This window comes from Homo sapiens, chromosome 16 (genome assembly GCF_000001405.40).
Source record: "Homo sapiens chromosome 16, GRCh38.p14 Primary Assembly".
Lineage (NCBI taxonomy): Eukaryota > Metazoa > Chordata > Mammalia > Primates > Hominidae > Homo > Homo sapiens.
The window spans coordinates 87,019,774-87,040,319 of NC_000016.10; the positions used below are offsets into that span (position 1 = coordinate 87,019,774).

At 46.7% G+C, this 20,546-nt stretch overlaps 3 annotated features.

Annotated features, from left to right (window-relative positions):
- Positions 8,743 to 9,243: an enhancer, noted in NCBI's record as "H3K4me1 hESC enhancer chr16:87062122-87062622 (GRCh37/hg19 assembly coordinates)". NCBI's record gives its function as "activates a minimal SCP1, AML or CMV promoter by ChIP-STARR-seq in primed H9 embryonic stem cells {active_cell/tissue: H9 hESC(primed)}" and the evidence as "EXISTENCE:reporter gene assay evidence [ECO:0000049][PMID:30033119]".
- Positions 9,244 to 9,744: an enhancer, noted in NCBI's record as "H3K4me1 hESC enhancer chr16:87062623-87063123 (GRCh37/hg19 assembly coordinates)". NCBI's record gives its function as "activates a minimal SCP1, AML or CMV promoter by ChIP-STARR-seq in primed H9 embryonic stem cells {active_cell/tissue: H9 hESC(primed)}" and the evidence as "EXISTENCE:reporter gene assay evidence [ECO:0000049][PMID:30033119]".
- Positions 13,913 to 14,086: a silencer, noted in NCBI's record as "fragment chr16:87067292-87067465 (GRCh37/hg19 assembly coordinates)". NCBI's record gives its function as "represses an EF-1alpha promoter that drives an FKBP-Casp9 reporter gene in an ReSE screen in K562 erythroleukemia cells {active_cell/tissue: K562}" and the evidence as "EXISTENCE:reporter gene assay evidence [ECO:0000049][PMID:32094911]".

The window sequence follows — 20,546 nt, forward strand, 5'->3', positions numbered from 1 at the left end:
TTTACTCTTTGTTTAAACACAATTCTAACAAACTTGATTATTTTGTACAGACACATTAGAATGATCACATTAGAAAGGAACAGAGAAAAGTAAAATCAGATATAGTAGATTAATTAATTAATGAGTGTACGTGTGGGTGTTTTTTATATATATAGTTATATATATTATATTGTTTTATGTATAGTTATATATATTATATTGCTACCTAGTTATATATATAGTTATATATGTTATATATAGTTATATATTTTATGTATAGTTTTATATGTTATATTGTTATATATAGTTATATATTATATTATATATATATATATAAAATATTAAAGGCAATGGGGAAAAAATAAAGACATGCATATGGCAGTCAGGAGACGTTTAACTGAGAGCCAAAAGTCCTCCATAGGTCAGCTGTCCCTGAGGGCACCGTGGCCCTCCCACAGCAAGAGACGTGCCATGTAATGATCAAGTGTTCAGGTGTTTCCATTCCCCTTCTTAAAGTCTAAGACAAAAACTCACACCTGGACCAGGCTGACTCTCCTGGTGTAAAGCAGGAAGATGTGATGAAAACTAGAGCCAGGAATGTCAACTCGCACTTTAGTCTGGGATGCTTGTGTGGTCAGTTTCGCCCACAGAACCCCAAAAGAAATTACACTGAGGGCTACATCCTGACCCCTTTCCCCAGTCCCCAGGGTCACGGGGCAGAAACTTCTCTCCCACACACCAAGCCCCAGGCCAGGGCCCTGGGAAACCTCCCATGTCCTCGTCCCACCTGCCCCATGTGGTTGTCACTGTTTCTCCCATATTAGAGATGACAGAACCAAGACTCAGACAAGGGAAATGCATCCAATCCAAAGGCACAGAAATGATGGTGGAGATGCAAGTGCTGCATCCCAGGTCTAGCTGACTCCAAAGCCCATGGGCTTTTTTCCAGCGTTTCTTTCTGCACTTGACCAAAATTGGGAGACTCCTGGTGATGGCAAGCTGACTGTCTCCTGCGGCGTTTCATTGCGTCTGTCAAGTTTCATTTCAGGGGATAGGGATGCAGCAGCACAGATTCGAACCTTCCCAAATCTCCAATAAAAACAGACAGAACAATGAGAAGGCAAAACTAAACCCTTAGACAACCTCAACAGCAAATGAGGTGACAAGCTGTCCCCAAACTACAAATACAATCAGGTGGCGGAGGGCACCAAATACAAGTACCTGTGTGTCACCAGCATCTGTGTAGGGCACAGCAAGGGAAGCTCCAGGGCTCTGGCAGGCTGGAGATCAGGGAACAGCAAAGTAGCCAACAGATGCTCAGAGGCAAACATGACAAACCACAGGACTGTGGCAGAAGCTGAGAGGAGTTTCTAACTAAAAGCAGGTGATGTCAAGAAGTCTAGTCTAGGGTAGGCTGACCTCCATAGATTCTCCAGAATGAATGTCCAGGGCTTCCTTCCAGGGCAGGGCCCTTGCTGACAGCAGATTCAACACTGAGACAAGAGGGATGACAGAGACAAAGGAAGAGTGGGACCAGATAACAGGGAGGGACGGGGAAGGAGCCAGGAAATACCAGCACACCAGCTACCAAAGCGTTAACAGTATATGAGAACAAACAGAAGCAAAGAAAGGAGCTCCCTGACTTAGATCAGCTACCAGAGGTAATTTCCCAAAAGTGGAGGACAATCACATCAAAAAAAAGAGGGGAGAAAAAATTATTGAGTTTAACTAGGATACAAATTTACTACAAGCAGAATGAAAATAAGGAACAGAATAAGAAGCCTGTGGCCAAATTTGACCCACAGTCTGTTTCACAGGGCCCATGAGCTGAGAGTGTTTTTCACTTTTTTTTTTCCCTGAGATGAAGTCTCACTCTGTCACCCAGGCTGGAGTGCAGTGGCATGATCTCGGCTCCCTGCAACCTCTGCCTCCCGGGAGCAATTCCCCTGCCTCAGCCTCCTGAGTAGCTGGGATTACAGGCACACGCTACCACACCCAGCTAATTTTTTGTATTTTTAGTAGAGACGGGGTTTCACCATGTTGGTCAAGCTGGTCTCGAACTCCTGACCTCATGATCCGCCCGCCTCAGCCTCCCAAAGTTCTGCGATTACATTGTTAAAAAGAAAAAGAAAAATATGTGACAGCGATTTTCTGCAAATCACAGGCCTAAAATATTTGCTGTCTGGTCCTTTATTGAAAATCTTGGCTGACCCTTGCTATAAATAACAAAAGCATGCCAGACAGAAGCAAACTTTAATTTTTTGAAAAAAAGGAACTGTAATGACCGACTTCAAAATGAGCTAAAAGATATTGATGAAATGACTAAAGTCATGAAAGAACAACATCCGTTGGAATCAGGAAATCTCACGAAGGAGGTGATGGGAGTCCAGGAGGGAAAAGAGTCACTTCATGAATGGAGACTAGAGACACATGGGGAAAATAATCATAATTGATACATTAGAGGTAAACAGAGGAAGCTTTTAAAAATCCTTTTTGGTAAGGATTTGAAAAAAATTTCAAAGTTAGGCAAAGAAAAGCCAACATACAGATAAGGAGCCCCTGAGGAAGAAAGCCAAAGAGAGAGAAGCAAGCAAGTGGTAAACCCATAACTCGAGAAAATTTCCCTAAAATTAAAAACATTTGAAATTATATATTAAAAGAGCATACTGTATACCTGATAATATCAATCCAAATGACCAGTAAAGAAAAAAAACCCTGGACTTTGGAGGTAAATAAATAACTCTTTGCCCAACTAGGCAAAAAGAGGATGACTTGCAAAGGAAAAAAAAACAAAATTAATCTTCACACTTTTTGACAGCAGTACATTGTGCCAGAAGAAAATGGAGCAATGTATTTGCAATATTCAAATAAAGAAAATCTAAGCCAACGATTTTGTATTCACTAAAGCTAATCTTAAAGAATAAAGAGGCTGGGCGCGGTGGCTCACACCTGTAGTTCCAGCACTTTGGGAGGCCAAGGCAGGAGGATCACTTGAGCTCAGGAATTCAAGACTAGCCTGGGCAACAGGGCAAAACCCCGTCTCTACAAAAAATACAAAAATTAGCCAGGTGTGGTGGCATGTGCCCTGTAGTCCCAGCTATTTGGGAGGCTGAGGCAAGAGAATTGCTTGAGCCTGAGAGGTGGAGGTTGCAGTGAGCCAAGATGGCTCCATTATACTCCAGCCTGAGCAATGACAGTCAAACACTACAGAAAAGAAAGAGAGAAAAAATAAAGAAAGAAAGAGAGAGAGAGAGAGAAAAAGAAAGAAAGAAAAAGAAAGAGAGAAAAGAAAAAGAAAAGAAAAAGAAGAAAAAAACAGATTACAGATAAACTATAATCAGTGTGCAAGAACGCAGGGAATATTGTTCCCATGATCTCTTAATGGGCAGCTGCTAGAGAATGGGCTTCAGATGGTAAAATAGTGGAAGTGACATTCTCCAAGGGCTGGTGCTGAGCAGTAAATATAGAATTGCAGCCATGCACTGCAGAATGACATTTTGGTCAACAATGAACCGCATATGTGATGGTGGTCCCATAAGATTGTAGTGGAGATAAAAAAAAAACTCCTATCGCCTGCCTGCCATAGCACACAACGTGTTACTCACATGTTCGTGGTGGTGCTTTTACAATAAAGATATAAAGAAAATATTTTTGTACAGTTGCACAATGTGTTTGTGTTTTAAGATATGTATTACAGAAGAGTCAAAATGTTTTTCAAAACCTAAAAAGTTTATAAAGTAAAAACATTACGGTAAGATTTATTATTGAAGAAAGCAAAAATTTTAATAAATGTAGTCTAGCCTAAGTGTACAGTGTTTATGATGTCTATAGTAGTGTGTACTAATGTCCTAGGTCTTCACACTCACTCACCACAAATTCACCCAGACAAACTTCCAATCCAGTGAGCTCCATTCACAGATAAGTGCCCTATAGAGGCATGTCATTTTTATCTTTTGTATTATATTTTTACTGTACCCTATTTTTAAATATGTTTGAATACACAAATCCTTACCACTGTGTTACAGTTGCCTACAGTATTCAGTACAGTCTCATGCTGCCCAAGTCTGAAGCCTAGGGGTGCACAAGGCTCCGCCATCTAGCCTGGGGGTGCGGCGGGCTCCACCATCTAGCCTGGGTGTGCGGCGGGCTCCACCATCTAGCCTGGGTGTGCGGCGGGCTCCACCATCTAGCCTGGGGGTGCGGTGGGCTCCGCCATCTAGCCTGGGGGTGCGGCGGGCTCCACCATCTAGCCTGGGTGTGCGGCAGGCTCCACCATCTAGCCTGGGTGTGCGGTGGGCTCTGCCATCTAGGTTTTTGTGCATGTACTCTGTGATGTTCTCACAACGATGAAATCACCTAATGACAGATTTCTGAGAATGTATCCCTGTTGTTAAACCAAGTGTTGCTATACTTGTATAACCTTATTAGATGACGGTTAAAAGGGGTAATGGCTATAAGCTCTGACAAGGTAGATAGAAGACAGCCAATAAGAAAAGGGGAAGAGAGAGGGCTAGCTCATGCAGAGCAAAAAGTTAAACCATTTTTAGGTCTTCTAATTGGTGGTGGTAATATTAATATTGTTATTTTGAGATCACTGTATGTGTAAAGTTAGCTAAAGCGTATTAGCAATTATGGAATATTGCAATGATATCAACTCTTATATCCATGATAACCAGAATTTTCAACGTGGAAGAAAGAATATATAAAAGAGATTAAGAAAAACTCTGTAGTCCTGAATTGGAAATAGAACGATCCATATGAACACAAGAAGCATTTATTTAGGAAATACCTAGAAACAAAGACTAACTTAGTAACAATCCCTAACACCCAGACTGTGGTTTAAAATATCGTTTCTCATTAAACACACCAGGGCTTCGTGGAGAAATGGCCGATCCTAGATCTGGAGAAGAAGTGTTCCAGATGAGTGTGGAGTAACAGACACACCACTCAGAAATAAGGCACCAAGCGCTGCTGGGATCCCATTAGAAAGACCCAGAGACACCCTGAGGTTCCCTGCTGGTCAGTATGAGACAACCTGAGCTTCAGTAAGGATATCAACTGCAGTGGGTGGAAATTCATTCAATATATTTAAATCTACATGTTCATGATAATTCAAAACAAACAAAACCCTACTGGGTCACCTTTTGAGAATGAGAACGAATCCATTTATAATATTCAGAATTTAGTAAATTCTGGGTAAAAGGAAAGAGTCAATTATTTATCTTCCCTTTCATATGTGAACTGTACAAATGATCACAGGAGTGCATCTCTACGTCAACTTACTTCCACTCATAAAACGAAAACGCAATGAGAGAATTAGAATATCACGATCCTGCAGCTCTCAATTAATGGAAGTAATTAATGGAAAAACATTAAGCATCGATGACTGTTAACAGCAAAACAGAGTGAAAAACAAGGAAAGAACCTAGAAAGGAAAAAGAAATCAGAACTCTTTTCAGTAGGCAGGAAACACGCAAATTCTGGAAACGCTCACAACAATAACAGTATTTCCAGCAGATACTCAGGTGTGTGAAAACAAACCTGTACAGGTCTAAATGATATACTAACATTTGATTGAGGCAAATTAACTCGTCTCATGCCTTGTAAACAGAACTTTTCAATAACCAAAAAGGAAATAAAAACTCTAAATTCATCTCAATCTCATTTTCATGACGGTCACCCATCAAGTGTGGACTACAAATTTGTATTTAAGGCATTTTATTGCCAGGGCAATTCCATTGTCTTTCACATCTATTTTTGTTTTTGATCATTGAGGCAACTAATATTGATTTTCAGGAAACAAATCTACAACAGTTATACCAGCTTTTGTGCTAACTGCAAAGTGAGTGTATCCCAGTTCAGCGTTTCCAAGCAGTGAGGGACACACTTGTGTGACTCAGCCTGAGCTCCTGACATCTGCGGGTTCACAAGAGAATTAATTCTGCAGGAAAAGGCCCCTGCCCTTATTAGATTTTACTTGGCTTTTTAGTAAATCTCATTCACTAACTTAATGAGAAACAAAAGTCATGTGATAAAAAAGTCACAAGCAATAAAATGTTAACTAAATTTATACAGCAGAGGGCTTGAAATTTTCCCTCCATATCAGCAAAACTGAACTCCACAGTGGAAACAGGAATTGCTATAAATGGCCTCAGACCTAAGCATGGGGACCTTTTTTATATTCAGGATGTAGCTTATTCCAGAGAGAGCACACACAATGTAGACATTTGAAGTGCTAGAAATGTGTCTAAATCTTTACTAGTTGGGAGCAGTAATAATAACCCAGATTTATTGCATACGATATATGTGCCAAGCTATCATAACAGCTTTAAACACATTAACTCCTTTAACCTTATAGGGAAGGTTATTATTATGCCCATTTTGCTAATGGCAAAACTGAGGCCCAAAGGGTAAGGGGACTTACCCGAGAGGGACTTATTCTCAGGGAATAATCGGCAGCGATGGGGTCCAACCTCTAAGCCAAGGCTAGAATCTCAGCACAAACATGACCCCCAACACTAAAAAATTAGGGGAGCCTGGCTGGGTGCACTGGCTTACAACTGTAATCCCAGCACTTTGGGAGGCTGAGGCAGGTGGATCACTTGAGGTCAGGAGTTTGAGACCAGCCTGGCCAACATGATAAAATCCTGTCTCTACAAAAGATACAAAATTAGCCGAGCATGGTGGCGCATACCTGTAGTCCCAGCTATTCGCGAGGCTGAGGTAGGAGAATCCCTTGAACCCCAGAGGCGGAGGTTACAGTGAGCTGAGATCGTGCCACCGTACCACCGTACTCCAGCCTGGCGACAGAGTGAGACCCCGATTCAAAAAAAAAAAAAGGGAGCCTGAATTACAGAATAATTCCAAAAGAGGATTGCCATGGAGGAGGAGACAGTGCCTCCCCAGACGGGCGCTGGGACCCCAGCGGCACCACCTGCATCTGAAAGACAAACGCATTTTCAGCCGCCTCCTTCTGATGAGTTTTATCACAGTATTTCTTCTGAATTTCAGTTACCATCCGAGACTGAGGCCTTCAGGCTCCTCAAAAGAGAGCATGGACATTAACATGGAGATGCCTTTGTTCAATATGGAATTCCATGACCTGGCAGGACATTTTCATGCGACAAGTTCACCTTATCCAGTGCAACCCCATCAGCTGCTGCGGTGGGTAGAGGAAAAAAGATGTTTACAATTAGCACGGCCATTGTCTAGATGGAAATTGGTCCTTGTGATAAACGGGCTTAAGTATCATTTGCAGTACACTTGCTAAGACCTGGTCTCACTCCACCATCCCAGGAGCTCTGAGAGGTGGCATCATTATGGTCTCCTGTCCTGGTGGGACAAGCCCGAGGTGGAAGGACATGCCCACACTCAGGCGAGGGCCCTGCGGGGAATCCACACTCAGTGTTACACACACACACACAGCTCTGTCCGCCAAGCTGTTCAGCAAAAGCCCTCCCAGGTCATCTCAGCCAACCAGAGAGAAAAGGGCTCCTGTGTGTCGTCTGCTGCCGTTCCCCAGCCATGGGGTGGACATCTGCTTCTTGCATCCCTCACCTCGATATCCTCTTCCCCAAGGGGCAGTGATGGCTCCTCCACGGCAGGAGGGCCCTGAAGTGGGGACCCCAGCTCCCAGCTGCAGGTCGGGCATGGGGTCCACGTTGGACCCATTGGATCACTTCTTCCCGGACGTCAGCACGGGCATGGCAATCTGTGGAGCCAGCATAGCGATGGCCCTGCCTGTGCAGTCACTGGACTCAGGTGCATAAGGCCTGATGCCGGCCAGGCTCCTACTCCCGGGAGGCAGAAGGGTTAGCTCTTCCTTTGAATCAGCTGGGTCCCAGTATCCTTCCACAGAATAATTGCTTGTTCTTGCTTCTTCGTGTGAAATGGAGAATTAATTGGGACTCCTAGCTGCAAGTACCAGAAACCCATCTCAAACCAGCTTAGCCAAAAAGGCCATTGTTGGCTCCCACAACCAGAAAATCTATGGGGTTGGGTCTGGCCTCAGGTGCACTTGGGTCCAGGGACCTAATGGAAGCCATGCAGAATCTGCCTCTTTCTCTCTCTCTCCACTCCAGCTGTCTTGATTTCGTTCTCAAGTCAAAATGAACCTTGGAAGCGCAGGTCTTCATGGACCATAAGAGTTGGGGGTCCCAGCGAAGGGGGTACAGCTTTCCCCATGGCCCTGGGGAGAGGCTGGGGGGGACGGGTTGGCCTGGATGGTCCCACATCTGCCTGGGGACCTGTTACCATGGATGCGGAAACTCTGGGTATCCAGACCTGGGACATACACTGTCCATGGCCCCAGAAGCAGGGCCAGCCTTCCCAGAGTCACACAGATCACTGTGGAACCAAGAGTTGACTCTCTCAAGGAAGGGAACCTAACAAATGAACCTCCTCTAAAAAGAAGGTTACTCCAGTTATAACTAAAGGGTCCTATCTGAGACTAGTCACACTGACTGCCGCAGTCTAAGTGGTGGAGATCCTGAGATAAGTCAGAGCTCAAGGAAGATGGAGTCGTCACAGAGCTTCCAGAAAAGACGGTCCTTGGAACTTGGATAGCTTGAACGGGAAAGGAGCCGTCTGGGTTCCTGGGGTCTGAAGAAGCCCCACCTCCTGGGTCTGGGGGTGCCTAGTTGGCCTGTGGTAGAAGACGCCACCCAGACCATCCAGAAGGAACACTGCGTCCAGGTTGTGGTCACCCTTTAAGTGGCAAGTAGAGAATCCCACAGAAAACCAAGAGCCGAAGTCCACTGCCTAAAGCAGAGCCTCCCTAGGGAAGGGTGGGTTTCCACATCCTTTGGCAGAGAGAAGACATCAGAGCAAAACCCAATGCCCCGGCTGGGATTGAAGGGCCTGCAGAACAGAATCACAAGGAGAGGGGCTGGATGCCGAATGACAGCTCCGCCCTCGCTGCTATTTGTCCTCCAGAATCCCAGCTGAGAACCCTGGTGCTACCACTCTCCCCAGCATCTCTGTCCACAGACATTTCATTTCTCTCCTATCAAACCATAGGCAGAGAAGGCCACCCCTTGAGAGGACTCAGCTGACAGCTGCAAAACCAGTCTGACTACGGGGCTGGGAGCTCATCTGTGGCCAGCAGGGAGGCTGGGCCCCATCCTGGCCTCTACACCCACATGGTGGCCCTTCCACGCCCCTCTCCTCCCCACTGACCACCACCTGTGGCTCCCCATGGAAAAGGCCCATCCATCGGCATCAGGCAGACTTGCTCAGCACCTCTGGGGGCTCCACCTCAGCCTCTTGGAGGAAGCACCAAGAGGTCGAGGCTCCAGGCCCCCCATCACCTCTCCGCTCTCATCCTCCACCACTCACCTGACTCCAGCCACATCGGCCACCCACTGCCCCCAAGCAGACGCCTCCCCCAAGTGCCCTGGGCCCTCCACTCTTGCCCACCAGCTTCTGCTGAGGCTCCCTCCAGGGCCACACCTGGGACATGTGTGAATCGGGAGCTAATGCCCCCAAAGGCAGCCTCCTTTGCCTTCCCCAAAGGCAAGTGGCCCAGCTTTCTCGCCCTCTGGAGCACAGCACTGAGGTGGTTCAGTATAGACCCAAATACCCCCAGAAAGATGAGCTCCAACTGCCCAGCAATGTGCTGCCCCTTTGCGTAGGCTTTCTTGGTCCCTCCTCTTCCTCGTCTCCCCACCCCACACCCAGCAGAGCTTCCCACAATCACCTCCTGGAGGAGGAGGTTTGGGTCCTTGTCTCAGGCTCTGCTTCAGGAAGCTCCAGATGGGTGAGGATTTCTGCCTATTTTCTCCCACTGAACCCCCAGTACACCTGCAGGTACCCTTAAAATGTAATTAAGAAGATGACTCTATTAAAATGCTTCGGCCTTATCCTCTGAGAATCGATGCTATTATTCAAAGTGGATGGGCCAATTTGCATGTCAGGAAGCTTGAAGGATGGTGAGGAAAAAAAAATGACTTCCCAAGGGCACATGGTCAGTAGCTGGTGAAGACCAAGGACTCCACCTCCTGTCTCCAGACCATCAGTGGAGGTGTTTCCATCAGGCTAAGAGGGGAAAACTGGAGTAAAAAGTGAGAGGTGACCTACCGGGGAGGTAGAGAGGTGTTTCCACCAGGATAAGAGGGGAAGAGTGGAGTAAAAAGTGAGAGGTGACCCAGAGGGGAGGTAGACGCTTGTGTTTACAAGTGTAGTGGTTAAACCACTGTGGTTAGAGTTGCCTAAGAAACATTTTTAAAATGTAAATGCCACCAGGAGTGGTGGCTCACACCTGTAATCCCAGCACTGTGGGAGGCTGAGGTGGGTGGATCACCTGAGGTCAGGAGTTTGAGACCAGCCTGACCAATATGGTGAAACCTCATCTCTACTAAAAATACAGAAAATTAGCTAGGCGTGGTGGCAGGCGCCTGTAATCCCAGCTACTCAGGTGGCTGAGCCAGGAGAATCGCTTGAACCCAGGAGGTGGATGTTGCAGTGAGCCAAGATGGTGCCATTGCACTCCAGCCTGGGCAACAAGAGCGAAACTGTCTCAAAAAATAATAATAAAATGCAAGTGCCTGGGCCCCACTGCCCAGAGATTCTGTCTTAGTCCATTCAGGTTGCTGTAGCAAAATGCCTTAGACTGGGCCATTTATAAACAAAAGAAATGTATTGCTCACAGTTCTGGAGGCTGTGAAGTCCAAGATCAAGGTGTTGGCAGATTCAAGGTCTATTCCTCACAGACAGTGCCTTCTATGCATCCTCACAGGAAAAAGAGGCAAACAAACTCCCTCAGGCCTCTTTTTTTTTTTTTTTTTCAGACAGAGTCTCACCCAGGCTGGAGTGCAGTGGCACAATCTCAGCTCACTACAACCTTCACCTCCCGGGTTCAAACAATTCTCATGCCTCAGCCTCCTGAATAGCTGGGATTACAGGGGCATGCCACCACAGCTGGCTAATTTGTTTTTGTATTTTTAATGCAGACGGGGTTTCCCCATGTTGCCCAGGCTGGTCTTGAAGTCCTGGCCTCGAGCAGTCCTCCCACCTTGGCGTCCCAAAGTGCTGGGATTACAGGCATGAGCCACTGCACCCAGCCTCCCTCAGGCCGCTTTTATAAGGGCACTAATCCCATTCTTGAGGGCTCTGCCTCCATGACCACATCACCTCTTAAAAGCTCTTTCTTAATACAATTGCACTGGAGATTAGGTCTCAACATGAATTTAATGGGGGGCACAAACATTCAGACCATAGCAGATTCTGACTTAATGAATCTGGGGGGACCCAGACATCTGTATTTTTAAAAGTTCTTCTGATGTTTCTAATATGTAACCACAGTTGGGGAACATTAGATGAAAAAAATCACCTTGCAGATTTTGCTCCCTAATACCCAAGTAGGTTATCTTTTTCTTCCTCATTGCATTGGTTGGGCTGTTTCATTTTAAAAGGAAAAAACTCAATCCAACAGGCATATACCAAAGGAGGGGGTAGTGATGAGGACTCAGGGTGTCTGTGGAAGTCCAGGATGAGGCTGCAGCAGGAACTGGAAGGCCGTTGCCCACCCCAAATTACTGCTTCTGCATCCAGCCCTCTCTCTGCCTTCTCTGCTTCTCCATCCGCAGAGCCAAGAGGGGCAGTCTTCAGGACGCCCGTGTGCACATCTCCCCATGAAGACATCAGCGCAGCCTGGGTCCCACAGGAGGCTCTGATCATACTAGTGGGGGTGGGGTGACCTCCGGGACCAGTTAACTGAGGTCAAAGGGGTGGACCATAATATGGTTTGATGTCTGTGTCCCTGTCTACACTTTGCATCAAATGTCATCCTCATTGTTGGAGGTGGGGCCTGCGGGGAGGTGACTGGATCATGGGGGTGGTTTCTCTGGAATAATTTGGCACCATCCTCCTAGTCCTGTTCTCATGATAGAGTTCTCACGAGATCTGGTCGTTTACAAGCGTGTGGGGCCCTCCCCTCTCTCTCTTCCTCCTGCTCCAGCCATGTAAGATATATTTGCTTCCCCTTCGCCTTCCGCCATGATTGTAAGTTTCCAATTAAACCTCTTTTCTTTATAAGTTACCCAGCCTCAGGCATTATTATTATTAATTTTTTTTTTGAGACCGAGTTTTGCTCTTGTCGCCCAGGCTGGAGTTCAATGGTGCAATCTCGGCTCATTGCAACCTCCATCTCCCAAGTTCAAGCGATTCTCCTGCCTCGGCCTCCCAGGTAGCTGGGATTACAGGCACCCATCACCATGCCTGGCTAATTTTTTGTATTTGTAGTAGAGATGGGGTTTCGCCATGTTGGGCAGGCTGGTCTCCAACTCCTGACCTCAAGTGATCTGCCGCCCTCGGCCTCCCAAAGTGCTGGGATTACAGGTGTGAACCACCACACCCAGCCCAGGCATTTCTTTATAGCAGTTCAAGAACAGACTAATACAGACTTCTGTGGTACAAAAACAGCCTCCCAGGTACTGGTGACTGGTGTTAGAGAGCTGCTTGCAGTCTACCTCATCCCTCTCCCACCAGCTCACACCCCCACAATACTCTTTTTCTTCCAATTGTCATAATATTTTGCTGTATCTATTTACCATTAACCATACACTAGACAGCCTTTCCTTTTCTCCTTTTAATAAACTCACTTTTTAAACTTGAATGTGGCCATTTTGTAGGCAGTGGCACCTGTGAAGTCGAGGGTTGCAATGTGTTCGAAATGTTTCAATAATGCATATTTGCATATGCCAGGCCATATTAGAGCTGGAGGCAGAAGGGAAAACATCAATAATATGGATGCTACCTCTGTTCAAAATTTCAGTATTTTGTTCATCGGGAATATTTTTGCATTTTGATTGTTTTACATTGGATTAAATTATTATGTATCTCAATGATTATGGGGGTTTTTAATGTCCTCTTAAATTTTCACCCAAGGCAAGCATCTTACCTGCCCTACTTCAGTTCCAGTCCTGCAGAATTATTTAAGTGGAAGCTCGAAATAATCATGCCCGTGTCACCTGAGACCTCTTGAGTCCCACACTTTGGAAACACTCACTTCACCTGCCTAAAATAGAATCAGTGAAGCAGAGGACGCCTTTCATGTCTGCTGGTGCAAATCCCTCTCTCCCAAGTGAGGAAACTGAGGCCCAGCGAGGTCGCAGTGACAGGCCCCAGCCCCACAGCCGTTTGATGACAACTTCACATCGGAGCCCAGTTCAGTCCGGACACTTTGCCTGCACCTGATTCTTCTGTCGCTTCATTAATCTTATGAATAAGGGAAGAAAAAAGTAAGGGCTATGGCCTCAGCTTTCCATAACTTTGCTTTATTTCTGGAGTGAGCAATCCAGCCCCGGCCGAAGGAATCATAAATCCCTCTGGGAAAGAGCCCTGGAACTCCTGAGCCCACGCCAGGGCGGCCCCGGGGGGCACAGGGCTGGCCAGGGAGAGATCGCCCTGCATGCCACTTCCACCACCCAAGCCAGGACCCGACATTTTTAGGCAGTGACATCAGAGTGGAGTGAACAGAGACCACCCTTGAAAGGAAAAACAAGTCACAAAAAGGCAGGCGGGGGATGGTAAAAGGGACCGGGCGGGCCCTCTCCTTTGCCTTGGCGAACACGATAAATTCAAGAGTAAAAATAATCTCGAGTTACATAAGGGAGTTGCATTTTAATCCCATCACGGGGTGCCAGCCCTGAGGCCAACAGTAAACGTGTCATCCCCTGTGAGCCCCACAGCAGCCCATGGGGGGAAGGTGCTATTTTATTCCCATTTTACACAAGAGAAGACCAAGGCTCAGAGAGGTTAAGTGGCTTCTCTGCAGTCTTTCACTCAGTAGAACATGGCCAAGATTCAAACCCTGGCTGTCGGAAGCAGCAGACGCCCTTATGAGCAGGCGGCGATGACTCTCACGGAGGAAGCCCCCTCCTCTGCTGGAAGGAGGCCCCCAGCCATCTGTGCCAGAAGTCATGTTCCCCAAATCCCCGACTCTGAGAGCCACAACATTCCAAATCCTCCATTGCTCCAAGGGGTAATCCCCCTCCCTCCCGCATGGACCTCCCGACTCCCGTCCCCCAACCAGCAGGCTACCAGACCCTTCCTTTCCAGATTCTCTCTTTTACCAGGTCAGTCGAAATCCCCAGGTGGCTGGGTCTAAGCCCCAAGCTTGCACCCCTCATGCCAGAAAGAAGTTGGCCCCTGAGCGGATGAAACTCAAGCTGGCCCTATCCACCCACGTGTGAGATTCCTGCAGAATTATGTGCATTTTTTGGTGGGGAGAGTGGAGCTTAAATATTTCTGATGAGACTGAACTGGAGCTGCCTGGAACCATTCTCTGAATTGGATCATCTACCCAGATGCACAACCTCACCACTTATCTACTAACCGTCAACAAGGAACTCACATCACGGCTTGGCCAAGAAGCACACCACTCTGCGAATGTACACAGTATCCTTCCAGAAGCGGGGGAGGCAGCTGCCGTCCCACCCAGAAGCCTATTCCCTGCTCCGACCAGGTGGAAAATCTGCTCAACTCAAAAGGTCAAACCTAGTTTAATTTTATACCCTTTTGTTAAGAATATGCCCTTAAAAAAACCCAAAAAAACAAAATAAAAACACTTCACGTTTCTTTCCAACTGTTCAAAAGTTAATTCATGTGGAAGAAAAAAAAAAAGATTAGGATAAAATTTCAAATATTAAATTCAAATGCAGGATTAATGACTTCTATTTCTAAGCCCAAGAGGTTGTCTGGAATTTAGGGCATTTTTGGAGTAGTCAACACCAGACATAACCAGATGCGGTTGTATTTTGGACCAAGTCAGCACAAATTTAGCACCTTGAAAGACTATATCCACATCTGCCTTAATACAAACAGTTCCCCCTTTCTTAAAACTCTCTGTCCAAAATGAATTCAAAGCCATCAGCTTAAAGACAAAGACTGAACACTTTTTAAATATAAGTGACGGTAGCTGACAAATGCGAGGCCTGACTCACACCTCCTTCCCACTTTAACCCTTTCTCTGCTTTCACCCTCCTCAAATATACACACACAGGCCCCAAGGACAGCACGAAAATGACTAATTTGAAAGAAGGAAAAATCAGGCTCTCCATAAAGCATGGTCTCTCCAGAGTCACTAAGTACTGTAACAAAACATGCCTCAAGTTCTGCCGATCCCAAGAAGTACTGAAAAAAAATCACGTATGCGAACCCTATCTGGGCAATTTTTCCAGCCCAGTGTGGTTTGGATCATTTAGGAGAAATTCCGAATAGGAGTCTGGATGATTTATCCAAGTCCTCAGATGAGCATACTCAAAGAGCATCCCCTCATGCTATGGCATCGGCAGGAACAGGACGATGGGCATGGGACAGTGGGACGATGCCCCAGGGCTGTGATTCCAGGCCCTGGCTGAATGAAGTGTCCTGTGGGACATCAGCAACACTTGGCAAAGAACTTCATGGTCCAATACGCTTGGAAAGCACAAGGTACTCTAAGACAGGGCTGGCCAACCATGTCCCGGGGCCATGTTGGACCCTCCACGTGTTTTTATAAATAAAGTTTTATTGGAACACAGCCATGCCCATTTGATTATAGACTGTCCATGGCAGCTGCCTGCCACAACAGCTCAGTGTGTCCTTGCGACAGCCCAGATGACCCACGAAGCCAAAAGCTTTACTAGCTGGCCCTTTAGAGATAGAGCAGAGCAGGGGTCAGCAAACTCTAAGACCTTAGAGATTCACAAATTAGAGAGTCAGCACGTTAAACACTCCGAGAGATCCTGCCACAGGGAACTCTAGTCCACTTGGTCTAGCATAATATTCTCAACTACATTTAATTTTAAAAAAACTTTTCCCTCTCTAAGACATGTATTAATTCCTCTCATAGGATGCCCTTCCTAGGACACATTTTGGGAGATACTGGTGTGTGTGCACATGTGTGCTTGTATGTGCACGGAAGAAATACGTGTGAGAACAGTCACCACGAGGAAAACACCCTGTGTCCATTTTCGGACACCTCCGGCCTGACACAGCAGGCACAAGAACGTCATTCATGTGGTTACTTAACCAGCTCTTGAGACACGTAAGAATACCGCATCCACACAACCAAATTAAAAGGTTCCGTTTGTTCAGGAGAGAAATTGTTTTATTACCAATAATTGATTATTTCTAATATGGAAAACTCCATCTTGCTAAAACAGAGGATAAGAGATAGATCCATAAAATAAGATAGAAGTCGCCAGGCGCAGTGGCTCAGGCCTGCAATCCCAGCACTTTGGGAGGCCAAGGTGGGTGGATCATGAGGTCAGGAGATCAAGACCATCCTGGCTAACACAGTGAAACCCCATCTCTACTAAAAAAAAAATACAAAAAATTAGCCAGGCGTGGTGGCGGGCGCCTGTAGTCCCAGCTACTTGGGAGGCTGAGGCAAGAGAATGGCATGAACCTGGGAGGCAGAGTGAGCCAAGATCGCACCACTGCAGTCCAGCCTGGGCGACAGAACGAGATTCCATCTCAAAAAAAAAAAAAAAAAAAAAAGATAGAAGGGACCACCCTGCAGAAGAAGAAAGAACACAAATAGGGGCTGAACTGGATTCTCTCAAGGATCCCGTGTTGCACCCTAACCCCCAGTCCCTCAGAACACGACTGTCTTTGGAGACACAGCCTTTAAAGAGATGATGAGAGTAAAATAGGTCATCAGGGTGGGCCCCAATTCAATAGAACCGGTGTGTCCTCATAAGAGGAGAAAATTAGGAGGACACAGACACGGAAGGAAGTCCCCGTGAGGACCCAGGGAGAAGACGTACGTCTGCGAGCCAAGGAGGGGGCCTTGGAGGAACCAACCCTGTAGGCATCTTGACCTCAGACTTGCAGCCTCCGGAGCTGGGCATTTCTGCTGTCTGAGCCTCCCAGTCTGTGGGACTTTATGGCAGCCCCACACACAATTATAGCTAATAAGGCTTCTCAACAGAGTACCCATGGAAAATGTCTGATAATGTACAGCTACATTTTATGAAAAAGGCTTCCATTCAGCCTACAGTTAGATCTGAGTTCAAAATCAAAACAGTTACCAGCTGTGTGAGTTTGGAGACGCGACTCACTCTCTCCGATTCTATGCCACAAAATGGAAACACCGGCACCTGCTTCACCTGAGTCTTCCTCACAGGTTGCTGGTGAAGACTGAGTGAGGGAATAGAAGTAAAACCAAGTGGCACAGAGGGGCCATCGATGAGCAGCCTTCCTCATGATTACTGTATTTCTTCTATCCTAAGGCAACATCGATTGTGATTCACCATCAACTGGCTAAGAGATTTTAAGGAGCAAAGAGATGCCAGCCTATATGTGCTCATCAGTGACAAAATGCACTCTGATTAGAGAAACACACAGATGGGAGGGAAATGAAATGTTTTTCCAGGCATTGAGAGAGTGTGATATTCCTCTTGGTTTTATATTTAGAGAGGCACACACCTCATCGCGACGTGGAAATGGTGATACCAGATCCTGGTGCGGGGCTCTGTAGCACGGACTGGGAATGCCAGGGCATTCCTCCAGGGCATGAGTGAAACAAACAAGGCTTGGTGAGAACCTGTACACGGTCATACCCCACCCATGGGTGGAGGAAGGGCTTCAGCCCAGACCTCCCGATAGCCCCTCCTGAGCTACCTCTACACCCACAAAGGACAGGGGACATATGGGGTTGGTTGTTTGTTTTTTGAGACAGAGTTTCACTCTTGTTTCCCATGCTGGAGTGCGATGGCATGATCTCAGCTCACTGCAACCTCTGCCTCCCGGGTTCAAGCCATTTTCCTGCCTCAGCCTCCTTAGTAGCTGGGATTACAGGCACCTGCCACCATGAGCAGCTAACTTTTTGTATTTTAAGTAGAGACAGGGTTTCACCATGTTGGCCAGGCTGGTCTTGAGCTCCTGACCTCAGGTGATGCACCTGCCTCAGCCTCCCAAACTGCTGGGATTACACGTGTGAGCCACCATGCCCGGCTCAGGGTACATATGTTTTAACCCACAGAGTGACCAAATTAGTAGCAGAACAAGGAACTTTATAGATGGATTTTACTATATGAACTCCTCGGTGATTCCAAATTCAAGAATTCTTGTCATTTTTATGACATGTCTTGTTTTTCTCTGAGCCTGCAAGGTCAGTGAGGACAATCAGGTCAAATGAAAGTGGCCCATGGATTTCACCAATCCAGGAGCACTATAAGGGAGTAAATGGAAATCAGACCAGGCCCAGGAGGTTGTGTTACTGGGGAGATACTGAGCGGTGTTACAAAGGGAAGTTCATGTACCACAGGTGGGCCCATTTACAGCTTGAACTTCAAGCAGGAGTAACTTTTTCCACCAAAAGAGTTTAAAACTCTTCTCCAACTCCCAAGGAAAACAAAATAATTTTGATCCTATAGAGACAATGCAGACCCTACTGGGAACCAGCACAGAGACCACCAGGCAGCCACTTTCCTTATGCAGGAGAGCTGACTACCAGCTCCACACAGAGCATTTGAGAGGAAGAAAAAGGTTTCCAGGGAATCCATTCATAGCATTATATTCCTCAGGTTAGTGCTTTGAGAGGCTCATAAAAAAATGCAAAGGGGCTAGGCGCAGTGACTCACTCTTGTAATCCCAGAACTTTGGGAGGCCAAGGTGGGCAGTTCACCTTAGGTCAGGAGTTCAAGACCAGCCTGGCCAACATGGTGAAACCCTGGCTCTACTAAAAATACAAAAATTAGCTGGGCATGGTGGCTCACACCTGTAATCCCAGCTACTCAGGAGGTTGGGGCACGAGAATCACTTGAACCCAGGAGGTGGAAGTTGCAGTGAGCCAAAATCGTGCCACTGCACTCCAGCCTGGGTGACAGAGCAAGACTCCATCTAAGGAAGGAAGGAAGGAAGGAAGGAAGGAAGGAAGGAGGGAGGGAGGGAGGGAGGGAGGGAGGGAGGGAAGGAAGGAAGGAAGGAAGGAAGGAAGGAAGGAAGGAAGGAAGGAAGGAAGGGAGAGAGAGAAAGAGAAAGAGAAAGAGAAAGGAAAAGAAAAGAAAAAAGAAAGGAGAAGAAAAAGTAAAGGACTAACGTGAGATAGGCTTCAGGGTTTTGAAACAAGACCTCCCAGGGAAACTGAGAGCAGCAGGGAACACACAGCAAGGGGAACAGTGCCCAGACTTCTATGCCCCGTGCTTGTTAAACCCTATTTCCAGGTACTCAGCAGGGAAGCAAAAAGTTGACATCAGAACTCACTGACAATGAGTAATGGATATGTCTTTTTCAGAGTGTGCGCTCAGATATCCTCAATTATTCCTCTTAAGAAAATCTTGAGTTAAGGATCATTCTAGGAATTTTTATAAAAAGAGGACCCTGGAGTGGCAAGACTCTCTGGGACTAACCAACCACCATGCCCTGGGCTCAGCTTCCCTTGGAGACTCAGGTCACACTCAGGTGGCTTTGGGGAACCTGGGCTGGGCTGGTCCTTGCTGCCCCTCCTTGACTTTGCTGCTTATGTCTGGTTTGGGCCAATATTAAATTCAGTTTGCATTCAGGGAGGATCTGCAAGGTCAGCTAGTGGGTTCATGATGTGGGGCAAGATGAGGAGGAATGAACCCAGGCTGAGCTCAAAGAAATACCAAATTGCATAACAAAGATGAGGGCTGGGAGCCCTGATATATCACTGAAACAAGGGCAGTGCTGGCAGAGAACAGGGATCCATGAAAATATGTAGAACAGAACAGATGATTGTCTAGACAGTCAGATGCAAATCCAGAATTGCCATCTCAGGGGCTTTCTAGAGGATATTTTTTGTTTGTTAATTTAGGCTTCTTTTGCTTCAATCTAGATGCTAGACTTGGGGGTTTTATTATCTCATCAGTTGATCCAGAAGCCCTTGGAGAAGCTGCCACTCTCGCATCAGAGCACCAGCCTCCAATAATAAGACCCACGGCACGTTATGGGCATGGTAAAGGTTAGTGGACCCTGGAGCAAGGCTGACCACGTGAGGTTCTAGCTCTGGACATGCACCAGCTCTGTGACTGTGGCCAAGTCACTCCACCTGCCTGACCCTTGTGTTCCTTCTGTGTAAAGAGCAGTGGGGGGGCACCGACAGCACCTCCTCAACCGCCGCAAAGATTTAGACTATCATCGGCGTTAGCAGGCACGGAACATGTGTGATGTGTTTTGTTACTATTATTCATTGGAGCTGCTGGGAACCTTTGCTCAGATGCTCCACACACAGTGTCTGGCACAGCACAAGCACTCGGAGAGGGAGTGCTGTTATGTTCATTACAGGTGCATCGTGGCCCTTGCTATTTGGATGGATTTGCTGAGTTTGGGCAGTGTATAGATGGGGATATGGGTACAATGACCCTTTTTTCAGCATTCTTATTATCAGGAATTCCTCCATGAAGGCAGAACCCAGCCTGGCTTTCCGGAGCAGCATCCCTTGGATAGCAAAGAACAAGCCACTCTTCTAGACAAACCAGTGAGGTACCAGGTACCCAGACACACACTTATCTCAGGCTCTCTCCTGTCCTGAGTACAAGAGGAAGAGCCTGGCCAATTCTGTCCCCTGCAACTCAGCCAGCAGGGCCGGGGCAGCTAACCCATTTGAATGATGCTCTCCA